This window comes from Homo sapiens, chromosome 7 (genome assembly GCF_000001405.40).
Source record: "Homo sapiens chromosome 7, GRCh38.p14 Primary Assembly".
Lineage (NCBI taxonomy): Eukaryota > Metazoa > Chordata > Mammalia > Primates > Hominidae > Homo > Homo sapiens.
Window position 1 is genome coordinate 137,324,442 of NC_000007.14, and position 22,274 is coordinate 137,346,715.

Here is a 22,274-nt window from a genome sequence, read left to right on the forward strand (position 1 = left end):
ATATATATATAAATTAACCTTCCTAAGCCCTCATCTAAAAATTCTGATTCATAGATAAAGTATGGGGCACTTTAAGACCACAGCCCCATGAGATTCTAAAGAACAGGTAAATTGTTCTTTAAGAGACAATGTTCTACGATTGTGTAAGCTGATGTTTTAAGCCAAATAATCTACACACAGAAAATAACAAAACGCCAACTTTAAAAAAAATTTTTTTGCAAAATACTTTCACAGGCTATGATAATTCCCTCCAAAGATCCAGTAAGGTCAGTGAGGCAACTGTCACACTCCCTTTTTGAAGAAATCTTGGAGAAGTCTCCATTCTGGGAACCTCCTCCTTCTCATCCATGGAAAGGGTAATAATACTAAAATGGATCTCACAGAATTGTTTAGAGTATAAAATGGGATGAGATATAGGAAGGCAATTTGTGAATAGTAAAATATTACATGGATGTTAGCTGTTAATGGAAAGCCAAAACAGAGTATGAATTGTTTCAGAGTATGAAACAGAGTATGAAATATCAATTGGGTTATCTGCAGATAAAAGAGTTTTAATTGTACTGTAATAGGCTCATCCTGCAGTAGCTTCCTGATTTGTCAAAGGAAACAGATAAGGCAGAGCTTCAGTGAAATTGCAAGATTTTACCCTCCCAGGCCCCAAATTATCTGGACCAGGAATTGCTGACTAAATCTGAATCTGGAACAACATTAAATATAATATGCCCTGTGTTAAATGGCTTTCTTAGAAAAGATCTTGTCTGATCTCTGTCCCCAGGACATTTCCTGTCTCTTCTGGCTGATAATTAAATTAATTAAATTGGGGATTGGAAACCAGACAATATTTACTTCCTGAGCATTCTTTTCTTTTAGCAAAGCTGAAAAAATAATTTTAAAGGAAGAAAACTGAAAATGATCCATTTACCACTGATTCTGCCCTCCCTAGGAAGAAGGATGCCTGGAGTGGGATAAAGAAAATATAGAAAAGGAAGGGAGTGTCTTCACATCCCAGCAGGGCACATGGAGGAGGAGGAGGAGGTGCTGACTATGGACAGCAAGAAGCAACATCACCATCACAAAACACCCACCCAGGGCAGGGGCCCTTTCAACAAGGAGCATAAGAGACTGTTTCTGCCTCTGATGGAAGCCCAGCATTTTGTTTTTCTCCACATATTTTAATCAATATTTACCAAGCCATAACAATCTGGCTTTCACTGTCACCCTAGGGTTGAGTTTCATGAGTAACTACCTTTTCCACTGGCTGCAGAAATAATGACTCCATGTATGATTGGCAGAAGGTCATTCATTTGAGCATAGGAAAACAAGCAGTTTCAAGAAAAGAGCTGGCATCTCTGCATGAGTGAATCAGTGCACATCTAAAATGCAGTTACTGAAATTATAGAAGCCTCTCCTCGGCCAATTGGCCTCCTTTGGAAGATATGGCCTCACACCATTCCATGTGCATGTGAAATGTCTAGACGTGATTATAGAGTTTTCTTGAGAGCTGATGCATCCAAGGAACATTTAAAGTAAGAAGCAAAGTAATGAAAAACGTTTCTCAGAAAATAAAAATTGTTAATATGGTCTTACCACATTTTCTAATGAAAGCATGTTGTGAATGCTCAGGAAGAAGAAGGTACAGTAATGGGACTAGAAATCTGCAGCTTGGATGGGAGCCCAGTCACCAATTACCAAGTGCTACAAGCCTGAGGCTACTTCTCATTGAAAGGGCCTCCCAGGCATTGAGGGTGTCCACAGTTCAGTGAGACCTCAGAAGCCTGCACGTAGTTCATGCTCAGTTCTTAGGATAATCCTGTCTCTCCACAATTCCTTCAGGCTTGCAACACTCTCTTACCCCAAATCAGCTCTTCCCCTACATTTCCCCTTTCTATCAATGGCACTAGAATTCTCCCAAATTGATCAATGTCAACATCTCATTGTTTACTCACCCTTCATGTACTCACCTCCCATTATAATGTCTAGATTACAGATAGCCTTTATTTTACCTCACGGCATGTCCAGAAAGAATCTGTCTTAACTACCTACTTACACCAAGGCATCAGCAATTCATTTATTTATTCATTCATCTGTTATTGTATGAAGTATTGGCTAAGAGATCTATAGTGAAGTGGGGAGAGATAGTCATTTAAAGTAACTGTCATATAAGAATGAGTAAGCATTCACACCGTTGCTTCCACCAGAACTCACACTTTCTTCCTTATATTTTTCCATCTTTAAACACAAGTTAGGAGACACTACCTCCTGGAAGCCTCCCCTGAATCCACCCTCAGCTGACTAAAATGTCTCTCCAATGGGCTTTTACAAGTGCATATCTAGTTCATTGCACTGAAATTTCACTGATTAGCTATTCATGTGCCTGCCTGCTCCCCCCAATTAGACTGTCCTATTCAAAAACAGGGACTGTGTCATATTCATCTCTGTATTCCTGATACTTAACATAGAGCCCAGCTCATTGTGTGCATTGCATATTTTTAAATGAACACATGAATGAATGAATGAATGAATGAATGACTATAAAAGGAAACCATAGAAAGTTGTGAAACAGAGAAAGGGGTAAGTAATCATTTTAACTAGGGGAATAAAGGTAAAATTTTCACGGACGTGACGGTATTTAAGCAAACCATTGAAGTATGCACAGGATTTCCAGAATGTAAAAGGATCAAGGGGTAGGGTAAGGGTTGGTACACAAAGCATTACGTTTTCAAACCTAACTGATTCTCTCCACCTCTGATCTGTTACTTCTTTAAAAATGATATTTTTATGCCTTACTTTTACCAATTCTTTTCTTCTCTGTTGTGGAGAACCTTCAGTGATTCCTTACAATCTAACTTGATATAATTCAGGCAGCTTAGCTTTCACTTGAAGCGTCTTGCTATCACTCCTAACATTTTTTTTCTAACCGTTGCTTCCACTCTTGGCCACTCACTCTCTGCACAAATCAGGCCCCTCTGTTTTCTGTCTCTGAGGTCTTGCCTGGGATCATCTCTTTGGCTTTCCTCTTTCTTCATGTGTTACCTGGGATGCTTTCCCCATATCTTTCTGCCATACACAATGCCACCCTGCCTTTGAAAATCCTACCCTTTCCCAGAACTTTGGGATGTGACGGGAGGAGGATCACTTGAAGCCAGGAGTTCAAGACCCGCCTGGGCAATATAGCAAGACCCCATCTCTAAAAGAAAAAGAAAAGAAAATCCTATCCTTTATATGCAGCCACCCTTTTCCACTCCAGACCAGAATGTCTTCCTTCTCTGAAAAAAAACCACTAAACCACTCTTTTATCATTTCATTTTACATTTGATTTTCCAGCTCTAAGTCTGCTTTGTCCCCTTTTATGAGGATGAAACTAAGATGCCTACAGGCCAGGATCATGGACAGTGTCTTGTTGGAACATGCCCAGTGTCTCAGATATTCTATTGATTAAAAATCCTTGACAACTGAAGCAGCCCTCTAAGGATATATGAGAGGTTCTTGACTTCAGGCGGACACCTTGTTATTCAGCTACTGGATGATGGGTGTGGGTACTTGCAGTAGATTTAATATTTAATTCAGTGAGAAGAAATAAAAATTATATTATCAGTTTGGTAAGGAAATCACTAACTATATTATAAAATAAAAATGTCTTACTTCCCTGTTTCAGCTGTAGAATTACAGTTACAGTTATTTTAACTTCTTCCATGCTGCCAGATTAAAGACCCTTTTAAAAATTTTTACTGTGTGACTAGCCCTTTAAGATAGATCACTGCTTTTACCCTAGCTCTTGTAATCCTGGGGTTCCTTCATGCTTTGCAGCTTTCTAGGTTTTGCCTCTTGTCAAACTACATCAATACCAGTCTCAAACCTGAATCATAAAAGACATTTTAGAGAAATAGAGGCTCAAGGCTCATGTAAAGGAATGACCTATCACTCACAACAGGCTGCAGGGCATGGAGAATCCATCACCTAACCTTTCCCAGCCTCTGTTCATCTGTGTCCCACTGTTGGATGTCCAAGCTTGACAGTGAATGCTTTCCAATGGGAAACTGTAGCAGGATTTTTTTCCCATCCTTTGGTCCCTATTGTATGTTCAGCTGCACTGGAGCTAGCTGCTAATCAAAGCCAGAGACTCTCAACACAAACAAACCCGGCACTGTGGCCTCCCCAAGGGATAGAACACAGCAATCCAACAAACAATTTAGTCAGGTGATGGCAGGCTGGAGAAACAGATTGAGCAGCTCCTAGACACCCTCCTGCTTGTACTCCCAGCGGTCCCTTTCCTCAGCGCAGGCATGTTGAAACACCATGCCAGGCCAACTGGTGTTTGAGAAAACAATGGGAATTAAACAATGGGCAATCATATGCAATCAAGGAGGGTAATCTAACAGCAACATTCCTTATCCAAGACACGGTAATCTCTTGATCATAAGGAGGTAGAAATAAGTGACATAATATGAAGAAATATTCCTGGATACTGGCTAGAGGGAAGAAAGGAATCATGAACCAGAATATCTTCAAATACTCACTGGACCCTTGACATTGAATAGGGGAATGGAGGTAGAAGAGTATGACGTTTAAGAATTTTGTGGTTAGAAATATTTGGACTACACCCTCAGTTCTATTTTTTACTAGCTTTTGATCTTGGACAAGTTACTTCTGAGATACATTTCCCTCATTTAGGAAGAAAAATAGTCTTTACCCCATAGGGCTGTTGGGAGCATTTAACCCAGCACTGAATGTAAAGTTCTAGTATTGAACTGTCCACTGTATAGAAAGCACTCAATAAGTATCAGCTATTATGACAGTATTATTAATGCTGGTGAATTGTGCTCAGAAATTTTAAATGATGAGAAATAATAAGAACAGAAAGCAAGGCCTTCAGCTTCTAGAACTAGTTGGTGATAAGGGAGCAAGTCTCCTTGCTCTTGGTAGTTCCTAGGAGCAACGTTTTAGAGGTGCTGGCAGGTCTTGATTTTGACTTATTGCCATGGGTCCTCAAAACACAGCAAGGGAAGTTAGGGACGCCACTGTCCAGGGTGAAGGTAGAGGACAAGGTATGGCTTCAGACAACAGCAGGAGCTTGGCTCCAGGTACCTGAGCACTGATGAGGGAACCATCATCTAAGTACAAAGGACAGAGCAGAAGAAAAAAGCAGGAGATGCCAAAGAAAATGATTACTCATGTCACAATTTTGCACTAGGGCAGCCAGTTAATATTAATTCTTGCCAGAGTTTCTGAAGGTCCAGACATGGGACAAGAGAGGAATAGAAAGTAGTAAAATGTTACTCCAATTCTATGCAACAATAAGCATGGATTGAGTACTATCTGCAACTGGCATATAGTGGGTACTCCATCATTTTCAGGAATATCCATACTCAATGCATATTCAGGAAGTGGTAAAGTGAAAGACCTAGACACAATCGTAGGAACAATGAGGTTCAGCAACAAGAAACATAGCCAGTGAAACTCAAAATTAATATAGTGACTTCCTTTAAGTATAAAAGACAGTAATGCAAGATTAGCAATTCAAGTAGCTTCTTATGGAAACCTCCACATGAAAATAATGCCAGTTGGTCGGGTGCAGTGGCTCACACCTGTAATCCCAGCACTTTGGGAGGCTGAGGTGGGTGGATCACCTGAGGTCAGGAGTTCAAGATCAGCCTGGCCAACATGGTGAAACCCCGTCTTTACTAAAAATACAAAAATTAGCTAGGTGTGGTAACATGGGCCTGTAATCCCAGCTGCTTGGGAGACTGAGGCAAGAGAAATGTTGAACTCAGGAGGTGGAGGTTGCAGTGAGCTGAAATCGTGCCACTGCACTCCAGCCTGGGCAACACAGCAAGACCCTGTCTCAAAAAAAATGAAGAAGATGGAGAAGGAGAAAGAGAAGGAGGAAGAGGAGGAGGAGGAGAAGGAGAAGGAGAAGAAGAAGAAGAGACATACCCAACCTAAACTTTTTTCTGAACTGAAACAGAATGTTGAACATCACACATTACAGCAAATAGCAATCAAGGCAGAAAGCCAGCCCCCAAATCTAGAAGGCACATGTGCAGCAAAGCCCTGGCTGAAGGAACCCTGGTGTGCTCCAGCCCACAAAAAGCACACTTTAGTCTCCTGCTTTTATGATCCACCACTAAAGGTGGGGAGGACATGAATGAAAACAATGCGTTAGACGGTAGAAAGGTTTATGGAAGAGTTGGCTTCAGGGACCAGATTGTCCAACTCCAGGTTCTGCACCCAAGATTCCTCAGGCCCTGTTTTGGGAAGGAACTCTTCACTAGAACAGCAGATATTGCTTTGTCTTGAAACACTCCCTCTGAGAAAAACAAGAAGAGGACCAGGTTTGCTCCACAGAGCTGGAGTGATTTCATGGGACTTTTATGGCAAGAGGCACCTGGAGCCGAGGAGATGTGGAAAACAAAGAAGGCAAATCCACCCTAGAGGAATCTCCTTAGGATACACCATGACAGCCAGATGGGCCATAAGGACCCTATGGCATGCTCAATACTTCCTTTTTAGTGGCAGAAGCCTCAATGCTATCTAATAGAATTTTATGTGAGGTCTGAAGTTCCTCTGTCCAGGAATGGGGCTTCTATCTATGGGATTCTTGGATGTTTTCTCTAAAGCCTCAGTTCAAGTCCAATGCTGTTTCTTTTGTCTTATTGGTCTTGCTGCCTTTGACATAAAGGGCTTCCATTTAACATCTTGTGAAAGAATGTCACTGGATGAGACATTAGAAACCCACAGAGCCTGCTTTTAGGAAATGTGGATCTGTCTGTTTAGAGAGAAATTGGTAGAAATCCACATCTACCCCCTTATTCCTGCTGAACTGCTTCTAATCTGCTTCTCCAAATCAAATTCATTTATTACAGCCTTGAAGTACATCTTCAAATCCCCAGATATCACGTATCAGAAGGCAAACTGTAATTCCCTAACCATCAGACTAAAGCCGCAATTTAAAAAGGCTAAAAATCACTTCAGGCCAAAGTTGGTGGGAATCCCAATACTGGCACAGATACTAAACGCATTTGACTTTCACTCCTCCTCTGCGATCGGGAATGTGGTGGTCAAACCCAAATTTGATCTGACTCACTTTAAACTCGAGCCAGTTGTTCACTCGTCATTCCAAATAATAACAGAGCAAATAACTCCCTGAAGGATGCCAAGCCCTGGAGCGACACGCATCAAAGAGGTTTGCTGATCTTGCAGTTTACCCACCTGCAGTGCATCAGGCCCACTCCCTTGGGCCTCACAGCAACTCCAAAGCTTCTCAGGCTCTTGAGAGGAGCTAAGGGGTTAGATCCAACCTGGGTGGGACCAGGCAGCTGTGTCTTCCCTGGGGAGACTTTTACCCTTAGATATATGGAAGGGTCCTTTAGGGCAAGAAAGAAAGACCTTGTGTACTCAGCTTGACCTTTAACTGGCACACACTGAGTTCTCCAGGATTATTTGTTCCCATCTAAACAGCACATCTGCAAGGACAAAGACTTTTATTTGTTTGTTTGCTTTATGAGATGTTTGTTTGCTTGCATTTTCCCAGTGCTGGCTCTTTTATGAGCATTCATAACATTAATTTACTTAGCATTTTTTATGATTCTAATTTACCCATACCGAGCTAAATAAATTGAATTTCCATCTTAATTGGCTCATTTGGTAGAATCAAGTGCATATGTTAATATGTGCATAGCTGTTAAAACATATTGCATGCATCAGTAACACTGTTAAAAAGCAGGACACCCAATTACGCATCTAACTATTTTTAAAAGTTACATCAGAAAAACCGTAAAGGTATATCAGGGTGCTAACAGTGGTGCCTATTTCAAGAATTGTAAGTAAGTTTTCTTTTCTATAAAATTTGAATATCTTGTACCACGAACATGTATTTTTCTAGAATGGGAAAAATAATGTGTTTCTTCAGGTATATTTGTGTTTTCCTAATAAGAAACATCATAATGGAAAAAAAAATATTTCATTATTTTTCACATGGTTAAAATTAATCAAACTTTTCACACATTTGACCTGCGTTGAGCTATATTTGAGATTCTGCATATTCCCAGAAACATTATTCAATAATGAAATGTATATTGTAAATAAGAAAAAATAATGGGAAGAAAGGCTTTATTTTATTGTTTCAAGATTTAAGCATAGACACCGGTTAAAAATAATCTAATAACCTACCTGTTTTCTCTCCTCTAGCAGCTTCTGGCTGGCTCATTTGAATTCCCTGGAACATATCTAAAGAAATACATTGCACAGAGAGGGCAATTTTTTTTGTAATAAATATTTTTTGAGGAGCTGACTTGACCCTTGAAATCCAGTTCTTTCAAGACCAAAGTATGTTTTTTAAGCCAACAATCTGATGTTCATAAGCTCACAAATTAAGGCCACCATATGTTAAAACCTCAGAGATAATTCTGCTACTGGGCACAATGACCCCACGGCTAGGTCTTGAAAAAAGCCATATTCACATCAAATAAGAAAGCCATTATGAAAACACTGTTCTAAAGTTTTACATGGTTTCTGCTATAGTTTGGATGTTTGTCCCCACCAAACCTTATGTTGAAATTTGATTTCCCAGTGTTGGAGGTGGTGCCAGATGGGAAGAGTTTGGGTCATGGGAGTAGATTCCCTCATGAGTAGATTAATGCCCTCCCTGGTGGGTTTTGGGAGGGTGGGTAAGTGAGTTCCCACTCTTAGTTCCCCCAGGAGCTGATTGTTAAAAAGAGTCTGGTACCTTCCTGTCTTTCTTGCTTCCTCTCTTTCTGTGTGATGCCTGCTCCCTTTCACCTTCCACCATGAGTGGATGCCATCTGAGGCCTTCACTAGATGCCCAATCTGGAAACTTTCAGCCAGCAGAATCATGAGCCAAATAAACTTTTTTCTTTACACAGAACCCAGCCTCAGGTATTCCTTTATAGCAACACAAAACAGACTAAGATAGCTTCTATTTGTTCTAGCCTGAGTGAAGATTTTCTGTGTTACCTAAGACTGTTACCACAATATGTTCCTTATTAATTAAATCTGGACTCTGAAGCAAAAAGCCCTGGCTGTTTCTCTGGGCAGCCCCACCGTCTTCAAGGAAGTCACAAAGATGGATGATTCCTGGTCTAGTTCCATTATGGTATGGAAGGAAAGAGTCTAATGCAGTTATAGACGTTAAAATGTGAAAGAAGGGAAGACTCTTAACACTAAGTAAATATATTACATATATCTTTTTCATATTAAGAATGACTTTCTTCACAGAATTGGAAAAAACTACTTTAAAGTTCATATGGAACCAAAAAAGAGCCTGCATCGCCAAGTCAATTCTAAGCCAAAAGAACAAAGCTGGAGGCATCACGCTACCTGACTTCAAACTATACTACAAGCCTACAGTAACCAAAACAGCATGGTACTGGTACCAAAACAGAGATATAGATCAACGGAACAGAACAGAGCCCTCAGAAATAACACCACATATCTATAACTATCTGATCTTTGACAAACCTGAGAAAAACAAGCAATGGGGAAAGGATTCCCTATTTAATAAATGGTGCTGGGAAAACTGGCTAGCCATATGTAGAAAGCTGAAACTGGATCCCTTCCTTACACCTCATACAAAAATTAATTCAAGACGGATTAAAGACTTAAACGCTAGACCTAAAACCATAAAAACCCTAGAAGAAAACTTAGGCAATACCATTCAGGACATAGGCATGGGCAAGGACTTCATGTCTAAAACACCAAAAGCAATGGCAACAAAAGACAAAATTGACAAATGGGATCTAATTAAACTAAAGAGCTTCTGCACAGCAAAAGAAACTACCATCAGAGTGAACAGGCAACCCACAAAATGGGAGAAAATTTTCACAACCTACTCATCTGACAAAGGGCTAATATCCAGAATCTACAATGAACTCAAACAAATTTACAAGAAAATAACAAACAACCCCATCAAAAAGTGGGCGAAGGACATGAACAGACACTTCTCAAAAGAAGACATTTATGCAGCCAAAAAACACATGAAAAAATGCTCACCATCACTGGCCATCAGAGAAATGCAAATCAAAACCACAATGAGATACCATCTCACACCAGTTAGAATGGCAATCATTAAAAAGTCAGGAAACAACAGGTGCTGGAGAGGATGTGGAGAAATAGGAACACTTTTACACTGTTGATGGGACTGTAAACTAGTTCAACCATTGTGGAAGTCAGTGTGGCGATTCCTCAGGGATCTAGAACTAGAAATACCATTTGACCCAGCCATCCCATTACTGGGTATATACCCAAAGGACTATAAATCATGCTGCTATAAAGACACATGCACATGTATGTTTATCGCGGCACTATTCACAATAGCAAAGACTTGGAACCAATCCAAATGTCCAACAATGATAGACTGGATTAAGAAAATGTGGCAAATATATACCATGGAATACTATGCAGCCATAAAAAATGATGAGTTCATGTCCTTTGTAGGGACATGGATGAAATTGGAAATCATCATTCTCAGTAAACTATCGCAAGGACAAAAAACCAAACACTACATGTTCTCACTCATAGGTGAGAATTGAACAATGGGAACACATGGACACAGGAAGGGGAACATCACACTCTGGGGACTGTTGTGGGGTGGGGGGAGGGGGGAGGGATGGCATTAGGAGATATACCTAATGCTAAATGACGAGTTGATGGGTGCAGCACACCAGCATGGCACATGTATACATATGCAACTAACCTGCACATTGTGCACATGTACCCTAAAACTTAAAGTATAATAATAATAAAAAAAAAAGAATGAAGTTTTCTAAACACTTTTCATTAGCTTTTAAAGCAAATGAAGAAGGCAACATTTGGATCACTTACACCCTCTCCGAGAAAGACCCCAGCAGAAGCACTGGTAAGGAGGCCCAAGTGCAACATCTGGCCAGGGGCTTTTTACACTTAAGGGAACTTCAGTGAAGTCAATAGCAAATCAGGTGGTGTCTGCAATTTTCTTTCATAAATAATCATACATTGTAAATATTATTTGGTCACAAAGATGTAAGTTTTAGAAGCTTTTGCATATAACATATTGACAATGATCCTCATCATTTTTATTAAGCTATGGACATCATGACTGGAGCATTCTGATTTGTCTCCTGTTCCCTCAAGTTTGTTGAATTAAACTGTTGTGGCTTGCTACTCAAAGAGAGGTCGCCAAGCTAGCAGTACTGCAGTCACCTGGGAGCTTGGCAGAAAAGCAGACTCTGAGATTTCATTGGAGACCTACTGAATTTTGGCAAAGACCCTGGGTGACTGGTATGAACATGAAAGTTTGAGAAGCACAGTTATCCAGCTATCATGTAAATGAACTGCTGTTAGCCAATTACTAAGGCTTATATTTAGTGAGAATAACCAATTAAAAAATGTGACATGTAGCTTTTAAGACACTTCAGAAGGAAATATAACATAATCTGAGGTAAAAGAAAGCATGCCTGTTTCAGTTCAGCCTCATTTAAGATGTCTTCTCGCTTTTTTTTTTTTTTTTTAGTATGACTCATTTCTTTTTCTTCATTCCTGTCGCACATCTTACCTCCTCCTCACTTTGTGAGTCAAACTTACCTTCAAGCAACTTAGGCAATCTCTGTGTGTCCTGAGAAAATGACAATGACAATAGCAGGATTGGGAAACCAGAAAGGCAGAACTTGCCCCACTGACTTTATTAAGTTCAGTTCATGTTCAGTATAACAGTTTAGAGCTTACAGATGTTGCGTCGTGACCATTGACATTTACCACCAACCTATGAGGTTGGCAAAACAAGTAACATCATCATCATTTCCCACTTAGAGCTAAAAAACCTAAGATTTCAGAAGATTCAGTGGCACATCCAGCAGCCCATACCAAACAACAGGCGGACTGTGGTGAGATGCTGGTTCCTGACTCCAAACCTTAACTCCTTCCCTGGACTGAAGCCTCTATCAGCAGGGGTCAGAGAGAATGTGGTTATGAGCATCACTAAGGTCAGCAATAAAGTGCCTGTCTCTTGGATTGGGAGTCTTCTGTATGCAAAATGCTCTCCTATACCTTATGGGAAGGGATAAGGTCAAAGAGTCTGCATCGGAGACTTTGCCTGCCCAACCCCCAGGCCTTGAGCATGATCACATGCTCCGTATGTTTTCTTCCAGAAGAAAGGATTTTCAATCTGCATTTAGAGAGAAGGAAGAAAATGGTATGAGCATGTGGAGGGGCGAGGCCTTTCAAGAAGCATGGAATTCCACCTAGGATTTTGCTTGTATGTTTGTTGCAGATGCCAAGTGGGCATGAGAAAGAAAAGCAATTCAGGAGGGGGAAGAAGTGAGGACTTGCATCTGGTGCTGCTTCACCATGATCATCATTTTCACCATCCTGCTCAAACACTCCCAGCAATCAGACTCTATGTTCAGTACTTCACATTGATTTTCTCAATTACTACTCAGACGTCAATCCTGGAAGGTAGGTATGTGCTCCCATGTTAGAGATGAAAACACTGAAGTAAGAAAGACCACAATATTTGCTCACGGTCACAGAGCTACTAAGAAGTGCAGTGGTTTATACCTCAGTATTTTGGACCTTGGAGCTCAAATATTGAGCGATTAAGGCTACTGTTTCTAATGTTTCATCCGTATCCACATGCCCTGTCGTATGTCCAGGGTCCTTGATTCCACCTCTTAAATCAGAACTGCTGAAGATGGGCTCCAGGCAGCTGGAACCTACACATGACGCTAGTTAATCTGATAAACATTGAAGACAGGGAACTGCTGCTGTAGGTTATTTGACCTCTAACTGTACATACATTGGATTTGGGGTTTGACATGAGAGACAAATGGGAGATAAAATCTATTTATTAGCCTAAGAAAGAGATGGCATTATATTACAGAGGAATAAACTCAAACTAGGAATTTTAAGACTTTTGTTTTCATATCTGTATGTCATTGAATATGGCCCCCTTAACTTCTCTAAGCCTGCATTTCTGTATCAATTTTTTAAAAATCCCACTCAATCTACCTGAGTAGAGTTACAAAAATATGATGAAAAAATAAATGTGAAACATTTTTAAAAACAGGCCTTATAGCTACATAGAAGTTATAATGAAAATAATGCTTCAAATTACTAGCTTTGTCACTTTGAATAATATGGTTTGTTAAAGAAGAGGTAAGTAAGGTTTTCTCCATTCTGGAGGTAGTCTTGAATCGGCAACTATGAAAAGTTTAAAATTATCAAGGTGAAATATGATTAGGAAGACACTGTAGAGAACCAGCAAGCCTATATGACATTTGTAATGAAGGGAGTGAAGGAAAGAGAGTGGGAGAAGTTTCTGGAGGTTCAAAGTTGAGAATGGGAATGCTTGGGCTTAAACAGGAAATTGGCACCAGGTTGTTTGGTAAGGCAAGGGGATTAGGCATAGAACACAGATGGTCAAGGTGGGTGGAACAACATGGGCAAAGAGAATGAATGGCATTTAGAGCTGCCTATTTTCTCACTCATTTGCCATCTTCAATGGTTCTATGCTAAATATGCTAGGGTTCTTGAGAGAATGAGAGACAGCCCTTGCCTTAATAGGGTGCACAGGTTGGATGGGGTGGGGCTGGTGTCAAATGGTGAGAAAGGAGGAGCTGAAGTCACTATAAGGGGTGATGGGGAGACTTCGAAGACAAGGGAAGAAATATAGCTCCACCTAGAGGGGGCATTTGCCTTGGAAAACCTTTGGTGCCTTCAATTTCCGACTCAAGATTTCACCCAAATTCCACAGCTGAAGTACAAGGATTTGCCTTCTTTCCCTTCATGTATATGTTTTCATTAAAGGACACTCTTCTCTTCTGGTATAAATTTTCCTGAAAAGGACATCTACAGGGAGTGCCATGTCTTAAAAATTATATTGATTCTAAATAAACTCAGTCTGAATTCTTAAGTTGTCACTTCCAATAATTTGTTTCTGCTACGTTATGTGGCAAATGTGAAATGAAAACACGAAGGAATCAGGAGTTCAATTTCCCTTCCAGAATAAACAGCATTAAAGGAACAAACAGACATAATGCTTTTGAAATAGACGTTGCGTACCATTTAGCCTTTTGTGAGCTCCACTTTCCTTTTTCTCATAAAAATGTGATCCCTTTGTCATTGGAACTGCTTAGGGCAACAATTGTACATATCTTCCTCTAACCTGTGTTGTAGTAATTAGTGTTTTAATGTTCTTACATATATATTGAGTAGATCATTAGCTGCTTGAAGACATATTTATTTGTCCTGTTTCCCTCATCACACTACCTACCATATAGTATGTCAGTCACTATGCGTAAAAGTCTGGTAGGGATAAAAATAAAATAACAGGAAGTCCTTTACTTCAATCTCCTCCTCCAAATAGAATTGTGCCTGAATGATTTCCTTCAGTATTCATTGAAAAAATATTAAAAATGTGAGTCCAGAGCTCATTAGAGAGAATCTTCCTTCAATTCTCTTCAGATCTGAGAATTTTCCTTGTGAAGGAGTTAAAGCTCAAAGAAGAGTTGTGACAATACTAAAGCATTTGGAGAGGAGAGAGGAAGGCGGGAAACTGAAATATTTGGAAATAAATGTACACATTTGGAAGACAAGAAAAAAAAAAGCAAAACAAAACATGAAAAAAGGAGTGCCCAAAGAAATTAGGAAAACATTAAGACAATAACATATCAAGGAGGTTACAGTATGAGATAATCATAAAATGTTGGGATTAGCAATCTGTGACTTTTAAAGCATCTTTTCCAGAGATGGGTGAGGGTATAATGGATTTTAATTGAGATCTCCTTTAAATACATTTCTAATAAAGAATTTCACAAGTTCACACCACGTACCAAACACAAAGTATTAGATATTGTGAAACCATAGAGATAGACACCATGTTCTATTTCTTAAACATGCTACATTGTCCAGCACAATGTAGTATTAGGCATCCAACATACGTACAATAAATATTGTTAAATTGGCTGGCCACAGGAGCAAGAAAAATTGTATTGTTGGAGTAGGACCCCGAGACGATGTGATGGACATGAGTAACTCCAGCTGCGCCTCTACATTGATGTTGGGAAACTGAGAAGAGAATGAGGTCAACATTGCAGTGATGAAAATGTTGCCTGACCCTTAGGCAGGGTCTTGAATCAAAAAAAAAAAAAAAAATGGGGGAAAAATGCCATTGAATCAGTAGAGAGGGCACTGGTGTTGAAAACATCAGCTAGGAAGGTCCAAGCTTCCAAGAATGCCAACATATGGGCAGGCATTCCTGGTACATCCGTACATAGAGAAATGTATGCCATCATAGCAAGAGGGAATTGGGCAAGACGTTCTGGGACCTGTTGGGTGGGAAATAGTGGCAACCAAATTAATGGAGAAATGAGAGAAAAGAAGGAGAAATAGGTAAATGTAAAAGCAGGAAGAAAAGGGAGCAAAGGGTTAGAGACAGAATGCTATTTGTGTTTTAAAATTATGTTTTAGCTTTTGCTAAGAGCAATTCTTAGAATTAAGAGCCCAATTATCAGTTACTATGAGTCACTTTTTTCAAGATTAATATACAGCGCTTGATTTTTTGTTACACTATGTGTGAAGTTGAAAAAAATCTAAGACTTCTATTTTTAGAAAACTGGATATGATTTTTTTCTGTTTGAGATATCACTTTATCTCAACCCACTCTGAAAAAATGGTTCAATAAATAAAGCCTAGAAAAATGAATTAAATTTTATCCCTAAAAATATCTCAAACATGAAGGAGTCATTGTATTCCTTGTCCACCCTGAAGAAATAGAGATTTGTGGTGAATGTGATCTACATAATTAAGTCCACAATATTCCCATATTTATAATACCCTCTGATAGTGTTCCATCATAGCTACCCTTTTAAGATACTGTTTTAATTTCTTATTTACTAAATGCCAAAATAGAAAGAAAAAGAGGTTTGTTATATTTTACAATCTAGAAATATTGTAATGACACCATGAAAACTATGCCGCACACTAGACTGGCTTGAAGTGGATGGAAAAATAGCCCAGTGGGTGGAAACTTGAATTGTCCATAAACATCAGAAGGAAAAACAACTTTCCACGAGGCCATGGCCCAAATTCCACTTAAGCCAATTGACTCTGGATGGAAAAAAGCAAGCCCAGCTCATAAAAAGAAGGTTCATATCTGAGTATCATCTTACTTCGCCTCCCACAGCAGTGACATGACCTTGTGCCAGAAGGAGGCAAAAACTCTTCGACTATTCATTTAGAACAGAAGCCAGAGCTAAAAACATTCCTCACCCTTATGGAGAAGCCCAACTCAACATCACTAGCAAAGCTATGGAACAAAGGCCATTGGAGAGCTCCCACTCAGCCTCATGCTCCAGAGAAAAGCACATCTCAAACTGGGCTGAGGTGCACTCAGGTGTGGAGGATGTTTGCACTCATCACATTGGGTGGTCTCAGTCTGGACACCTCCTTCCTGAGAGAAGTCAAGAACAACTCCCCATATCATTATGCCGCCATATTAAAAAGCATAATTCTTTAGAGAACTGGAATTTGTATTCTGAATTCTGACTTCAGGCCCTCAATCTATTGTTAATTTATCACACCATTTTCAACGAGCCGGGTAAACTCGATTTTGTGGGAAATTTTTGAATAGTAATTAAAAACACCACATGACAAATAGGAATATGGTCAGAATTCATGTGAGAATGCCATGTAAGTGAGAAAGCAAAAATATCTTCAAAGGAAAAATAAAATATTTAAAGTTAAAATATTTGATATCTAAGATTGATTTTACTAAAAAAAGTGATTCAACTATCTGGGGATCTTATTTCTCTCTGTTGTTTTCAACAACTAGGCTTTTATGAAATTTTAAACCAGGCCATTGGCTTGACTGAAATTTTTTTAAAAAATGAAAATGCTCATTAAAAAGAAATGTAGATCTTGTTATGTGTTGCTATATGTGAAGCCCAAATAAGGCATATGGAAAATATCAATAAATTAATACGTTTATTAAACCAAATCTCATGATCTCATGGAAAGGGGTCTAAAAAAACAGAGAATTATATATAATACATATAATACATTAGACTATAAATATAGTTAGGTATACCTTATTACTCTAATTATCTATAATATCTCATTTAAAGTCAGATAATTAAAAAGTCATGTATCTAATAGTACTTTTATTTATCTCAAGCTCTAGCTTTGAGAACATAATGCATTTGCATCCAGAAGCAAACAGCTGGAACACAGCACCTAATGCTGTTATATGTGGCTTCAGGTGGGAGTTCCTTATAGTGGCTTTTCACTAAATGCAGAAAAAGATGTCCTAAAGGGAACCAGTGAGCAGTGGCAGAAAAAAGATCACCTTCTATTTATTTAAAGTACAATTAGAGAACTTAAGGCCCAAGTTTCTTAAAGCACAAAAGGATGGCATTAGAGTTTTTTTTAAATAATATAATTTTTTAAAATCTCATCTTCTAATTTAAATGAAAAAGTACAAATATTGCCAGTCTGAAATAACTCATGTCCCAAAGGAAGAAAAAAATATTCATTCTAATTTCCTCTGAATTTAACTGGACTATATTTTTTAAACGACTTGGCCTTTAAAGTGCATAATTTACTTAAAAGGAAACATAATGAAGATGGAAAATACAGCTTTATTTTCTGTGTTGGGAGACTTCTCTTTTGTTTCATTGTCATTAACTTTCAATATTTCTACATATCAATGCATTCCCGGATAATTAAGGGGCTAAAATGGGCCCTGCTGTTTCATCAATTCCACATTTGCCTAGGATCATAAAATGTTTCATTATGTTATTAGTCCAGAGCTCTTTTTGGTGATTTCTAAATCTCCTCCCAGACCCCTCTCTCTAGCACACACACACGCACATGCACACGCACACACACACATCACCCCTTTCTCAAGCTGCTAAAGCAAAATGCCTGATAACTCTTAAAATGAGAGATGCTCAAGGACCGCAGCTTTAATATTTTCTCCTCTTAGCACCCCTACCCCTCCTATTTTCTGAATGTGTCCCCAAACTTACAAAGCAGCTCTTAACAGACACAAGGGTGAGTTAACACTAGAGTGTATATAAACTGCATGTGTGTGTTCCTGTGTGTGTGTGTGTGTGTGTTGTGTCACATTATGTCATGGAGAAAGGGGTGTGTGTGTATGGAGAGGAGAGAGGAGGTTTCACTTTCCATCTATTAAGAAAGGAGTTGAATACATTCCTCTCAAAAAATGTTTTCTTAACTTATTAGAAACAACAACTCAGAAACTCTAAATATCTAGTAAATTAGTAACAAATATATCCTAAATTTATGTGGGTCAAATTAAAAGTTTAAGGGTCTATGTACTGGGCAGTTCTTTAAATTTGCATTCAAATGAGAGATGGGACTCCAGGTGTGTCTTCTAAACTTTGGACCTAACCATTTCTGGAACCATTCCTGGGCTGTCAGGTGGGAAGACGGGTGCCAGTAGTTCCGTGAGAGACGTTTCATGTCAGCTAGCACTGGGAGGAACAAGCCCCCACAGCTTACCTAGAAATGCCAGCTAAGAGTCATGGGCTGACAGGCTCTGGGGCAATCAGAGAATCAGAGAGAGGCTGGGAAAATGAGAGCTGCTTGTTCAGGCTGCCTTACTTTCTTTGCACCTACCCAGCCAGAGACACACCTACTAAAGCTCCAGGTTTTACAAAAAGCAAAGATGCACTCTCCAGCCCACCCTGTCTTGCTCTCCAGCTGGTAGCTGGAACACGGTCCAAATACATGCTTAACATCACAAAAACTTCTTTCCTTTCACTTACCTAAGCACACCCGAACTAACCTAACCTGAAACCCCAAAAATATGCCTCCCTTGGCCTCTGGAGCAAGTCAGTTTTGAAAGCAGTCCTATCAGCAAAGACACCAGGCAGCCTCTCTCACCCCTACCACCATCATCTGCTGGCACCCAGAAAAGTGGCACAGGGTGAAGGCAAACTCGATCGAAGAGCCCTCCGAGAAATCGTACGTTCCTCTCACTTACTTTGAGTTGGAAACGTCCTCTCTGGCGCTCAGTCTGCCTTTGTTGCAAGGGGCGAGGTTGCTACCGCTGAGTCCAGGTACCCGGCTCGCTGCAGCTCCTGCTTGGGCCGCTGCTGCTCTCCCCGCCTTCTGGACGGATGACTCACTGGTCTCTTTCTTCCCCTCTCTCCACTTTGGATTTTCCTCTGCTCTGGGGCTCTCTTGGCGGGATTTTTGGACTGGAAGGCGGGGAACCTGATCCTGCCTTTGACTCAATTACGCCCTGACAGGGAGGGAACGGAAGGGAAATGGAGAATGGGAGGGATGAGAGGAGCGGGCCAGGAGGACGAAGGCTGGGCGAGGGAGGGAGAGCGCTTTGCACTCGAGAGCTGATTGGGAAGCTTATTAAAAGCAGAATACTCCAGGGGCAGTCTCTCCCTGCGGAGCAAGAAAACGGATTTGAACCAAGAGGCCATGAGATGGTACCTTGTTTTGTTTTTAGCAGAGACGAAACACAACATTTCTTTTCCAAACTCCACCCATGATCTATTCTTCAGATGAGTGCAAAGCCACTTTGCCAAATAGGATATTTTAAATGGACAATTGATGGCATTTTAGGTTACATTTTTGGCCCCCCACAATCCTTTAATGATATTCAGAATGGAAAAGCACTCTCTTCAAACCAGCCTCTTCTTCCACCCACGAAAGCCCTCTCTAAACACAGAGACAGTAAGGTGTCAGTCACATCTCACCTGCAAAGCACAAAATGTACAAAGTACTTTTTCTCAATTGTCACAAAGAGTGACAGACGTCTCAAAGTTCCCAATTAAGTGCTACTTACCTTTAGGGAGAGCTCTTTCCTTTTTTGGTTTCCTTGGTGCCTTTAGCAACCTATTTAGTAACATGCCTTTGACACCCAAGAATTTAGAGGATTCGTCAAAGTAGCTCAAACTCTGAGGTTTGTAAAACTTGGAGGCTGGGCTTTGCGTCTCTGGAATTGTCATTTCATTCAATACAGGAAAGACGCTAAGGCAATGCATAGGTAAATATTTATGATAAAGATGAGATAAAAGTATTGTGTAAAAGGATTAAGATGTATTATACAAATTCACCCAAACATTTTCGAAATGTAAATTTCGAGATTTTCTGCCACTTATCAGCTTTTCCTGCTCCGTGGCTAGCTCCTTTTACCTACTTTTACCTTTACTGGTCAGCTTATCATTTGATGGCGTCCTTCCCAAATTGGTTGTAAAATAGACCACATTTTTCATAATTCTGAGGTTACATCCCTTCATTTCAATTTGACAAATATTTATTAAGCAATTTGTTTACTTAGAACTATCCTTAAATCCCCAAATTAGAAGCATTGTCTTGTGGCAAGTAGTTTTTAGGGACTTGGGGCTCTTCTATTGACAGCTACCTGTAGAAATGTCCCTTGGAGAAGTTGACTGGAGCCAGACGTGGCTCTACAAACTCAATCAAGCAGTCAATCAAGCTTTTCAAAAGGAAAGGCATCAGAGATGCACTTACACACCTACAATTTATCCCCCTTCCCAAACTCTTCATATACATACCACATACAATTCTCAAATGAAATAACTAAATAAGGAAGCTGTGTTCCTTTCTCCTACACACAGGCTTCAGGTTACCTGTTTTCCTTTTGTGATTCCACTTCTGTGTGAAGCAAGCAGTGCTTGTTTTAATCAGATTTCACCTGTATAAAGTGTGGAGAAACGCACATTAGCATTTTTTTTTGGCATTTTTCCCAGTCCCTTTACCAAAAAAGATATCTCAGCATTCTATTAACACTCCATAGGGGCAAAGTTTCTAAGGCATTGAACAAAGAGCTATCCATTTTCTTTCTGTTCTTCAGCTTTATGTTAACATATACAAATGTAACATACAGCTAGCTACCAGTTAGGTGAACAATGCTGGCTTGATTGAGGTGTTCTCTATAGGGCTGATAAAGTAAGCATGAGATTCCCATGATTTCTACTCAATTACATATGTTACACCAAAAATATCACCCTTTATTCAGATGGGTATATACTAAAATTGTATACATCAGTGATTATCAATTGGGAGCAGTTTTGCCCTCCAGGAAAAGGGAATAATGTCTGGAGGTAGTCTTGGTTGTCGCAACTTGGTGGAAGGGGTTGCTCTGGATCTAGTGGGTAGAAGCCGGGGATGCTGTAAAACATCATACAATGCATAGGACAGCCTTTGTTACCAGAAAGCGGTCCCGGTCCAGACCCCAAGAGAGGGTTCTTGGATCTCAGTTGCAAGAAAGAATTCAGGGCAAGTTCATAGAGTAAAGTGAAAGCAAGTTAATTAGAGAGGTAAAGGAATAAAGAATAGCTAGCTACTCCATAGGCAAAGCAGCCCCAGTGGCTTCTGGCTGTCCATCTGTTTGGTCATTTCCTGATTGTATGCTAAACAAGGGGTAGGTTATTCATGAATTTTCCTGGAAAGGGGTTGGCAGCTCCCGGAACTGAGGGTTCTTCCCCTTTTTAGACCATATATGGTAACTTCCTGACACTGCCATGGCATTTGTAAACTGTCCTGTGCTGGTAGGAGTGACTTTTGGCATGCTAATGTGTTATAATTAGCATGTAATGAGCAGTGAGGACGACCAGAGATCACTCTCGTGGCCATCTTTGTTTTGGTGGGTTTTGGACGCCTTCTTTACAACAAGCTGTTTTATCAGCAAGTTCCTTATGACCTGTATCTTGTGGCAATCTCCTATCTCATCCTGTGACTTAGAATGCCTAACTTCCTGGGAATGAAGCCCAGTAGGTCTCAGCCTTATTTTACCCAGCACCTATTCAAGATGGAGTCGCTCTGGTTTAACCACCTCTGACACCTCCACAACAAAGAATTATTTGGCCCAAAATGTTAACAGGGCTGAGGTTAAGAAAACCTAATGTTATTCACCATGGTATTTTAAAAATGCAAAGACGGATTAAAGAGAGTTTTTTTTTTAATAAATAGAAATTTATGAGATTGAGATTAGTCATAATTTAATTCAATCCAGCATTTTCATCAAAGTTGAAGTAGAATGTTTTTTAATACACAGTGAAATACTCAGTTTCAAATCCGAACTTCATCCTACGGCATAGTCAGGGGTCTGTTGATTCCAGAGTCCAAGTTATTTCATTCATTAGGCTAATATTCTTTAAGCACTTAAGTCTTTAGCTTGATAGAGCTATGAAGAAAAACTGTTGACAGTCCCTACTCTCAGATAGCCTATGTTGTTGTTCTTTCTTTCTTCTGAGATGGAGTTTCACTCTTGTTGCCCA

The 22,274-nt window shown here is 39.8% G+C and overlaps 1 protein-coding gene and 1 long non-coding RNA gene across 3 annotated transcripts in view, besides 5 other annotated features; one reads left to right on the forward strand and one right to left on the reverse strand.

Moving 5' to 3' along the window:
* The window catches only part of PTN (pleiotrophin), a 116,393-nt gene extending 97,101 nt beyond the window's left edge, over positions 1-19,292 (reverse strand). For both annotated transcript variants that reach the window (NM_001321387.3, NM_002825.7), the window contains exon 1: positions 18,998-19,292. The gene's annotated coding sequence lies outside the window, so the exon portion shown is untranslated. The remainder of the gene's footprint in view (positions 1-18,997) is intronic.
* LOC105375527 (uncharacterized) lies at positions 297-1,586 on the forward strand. The gene is made up of 2 exons (NR_187965.1): positions 297-356; positions 944-1,586. It is a non-coding gene; the product is annotated as an uncharacterized LOC105375527 (long non-coding RNA).
* Positions 19,086-19,831: a promoter, noted in NCBI's record as "-550 to +191 promoter". NCBI's record gives the evidence for it as "EXISTENCE:reporter gene assay evidence [ECO:0000049][PMID:1464612]".
* Positions 19,086-21,250: a promoter, noted in NCBI's record as "-1984 to +191 promoter". NCBI's record gives the evidence for it as "EXISTENCE:reporter gene assay evidence [ECO:0000049][PMID:1464612]".
* Positions 19,372-19,391: a protein binding site, noted in NCBI's record as "HBS". NCBI's record gives its function as "positive regulation of promoter activity" and the evidence as "EXISTENCE:protein binding evidence [ECO:0000024][PMID:15757903]".
* Positions 19,618-19,676: a protein binding site, noted in NCBI's record as "PAX3/FKHR probe". NCBI's record gives the evidence for it as "EXISTENCE:protein binding evidence [ECO:0000024][PMID:24348888]".
* Positions 19,835-19,844: a transcriptional cis regulatory region, noted in NCBI's record as "SRE". NCBI's record gives its function as "contributes to induction by serum" and the evidence as "EXISTENCE:site-directed mutagenesis evidence [ECO:0005528][PMID:19331172]".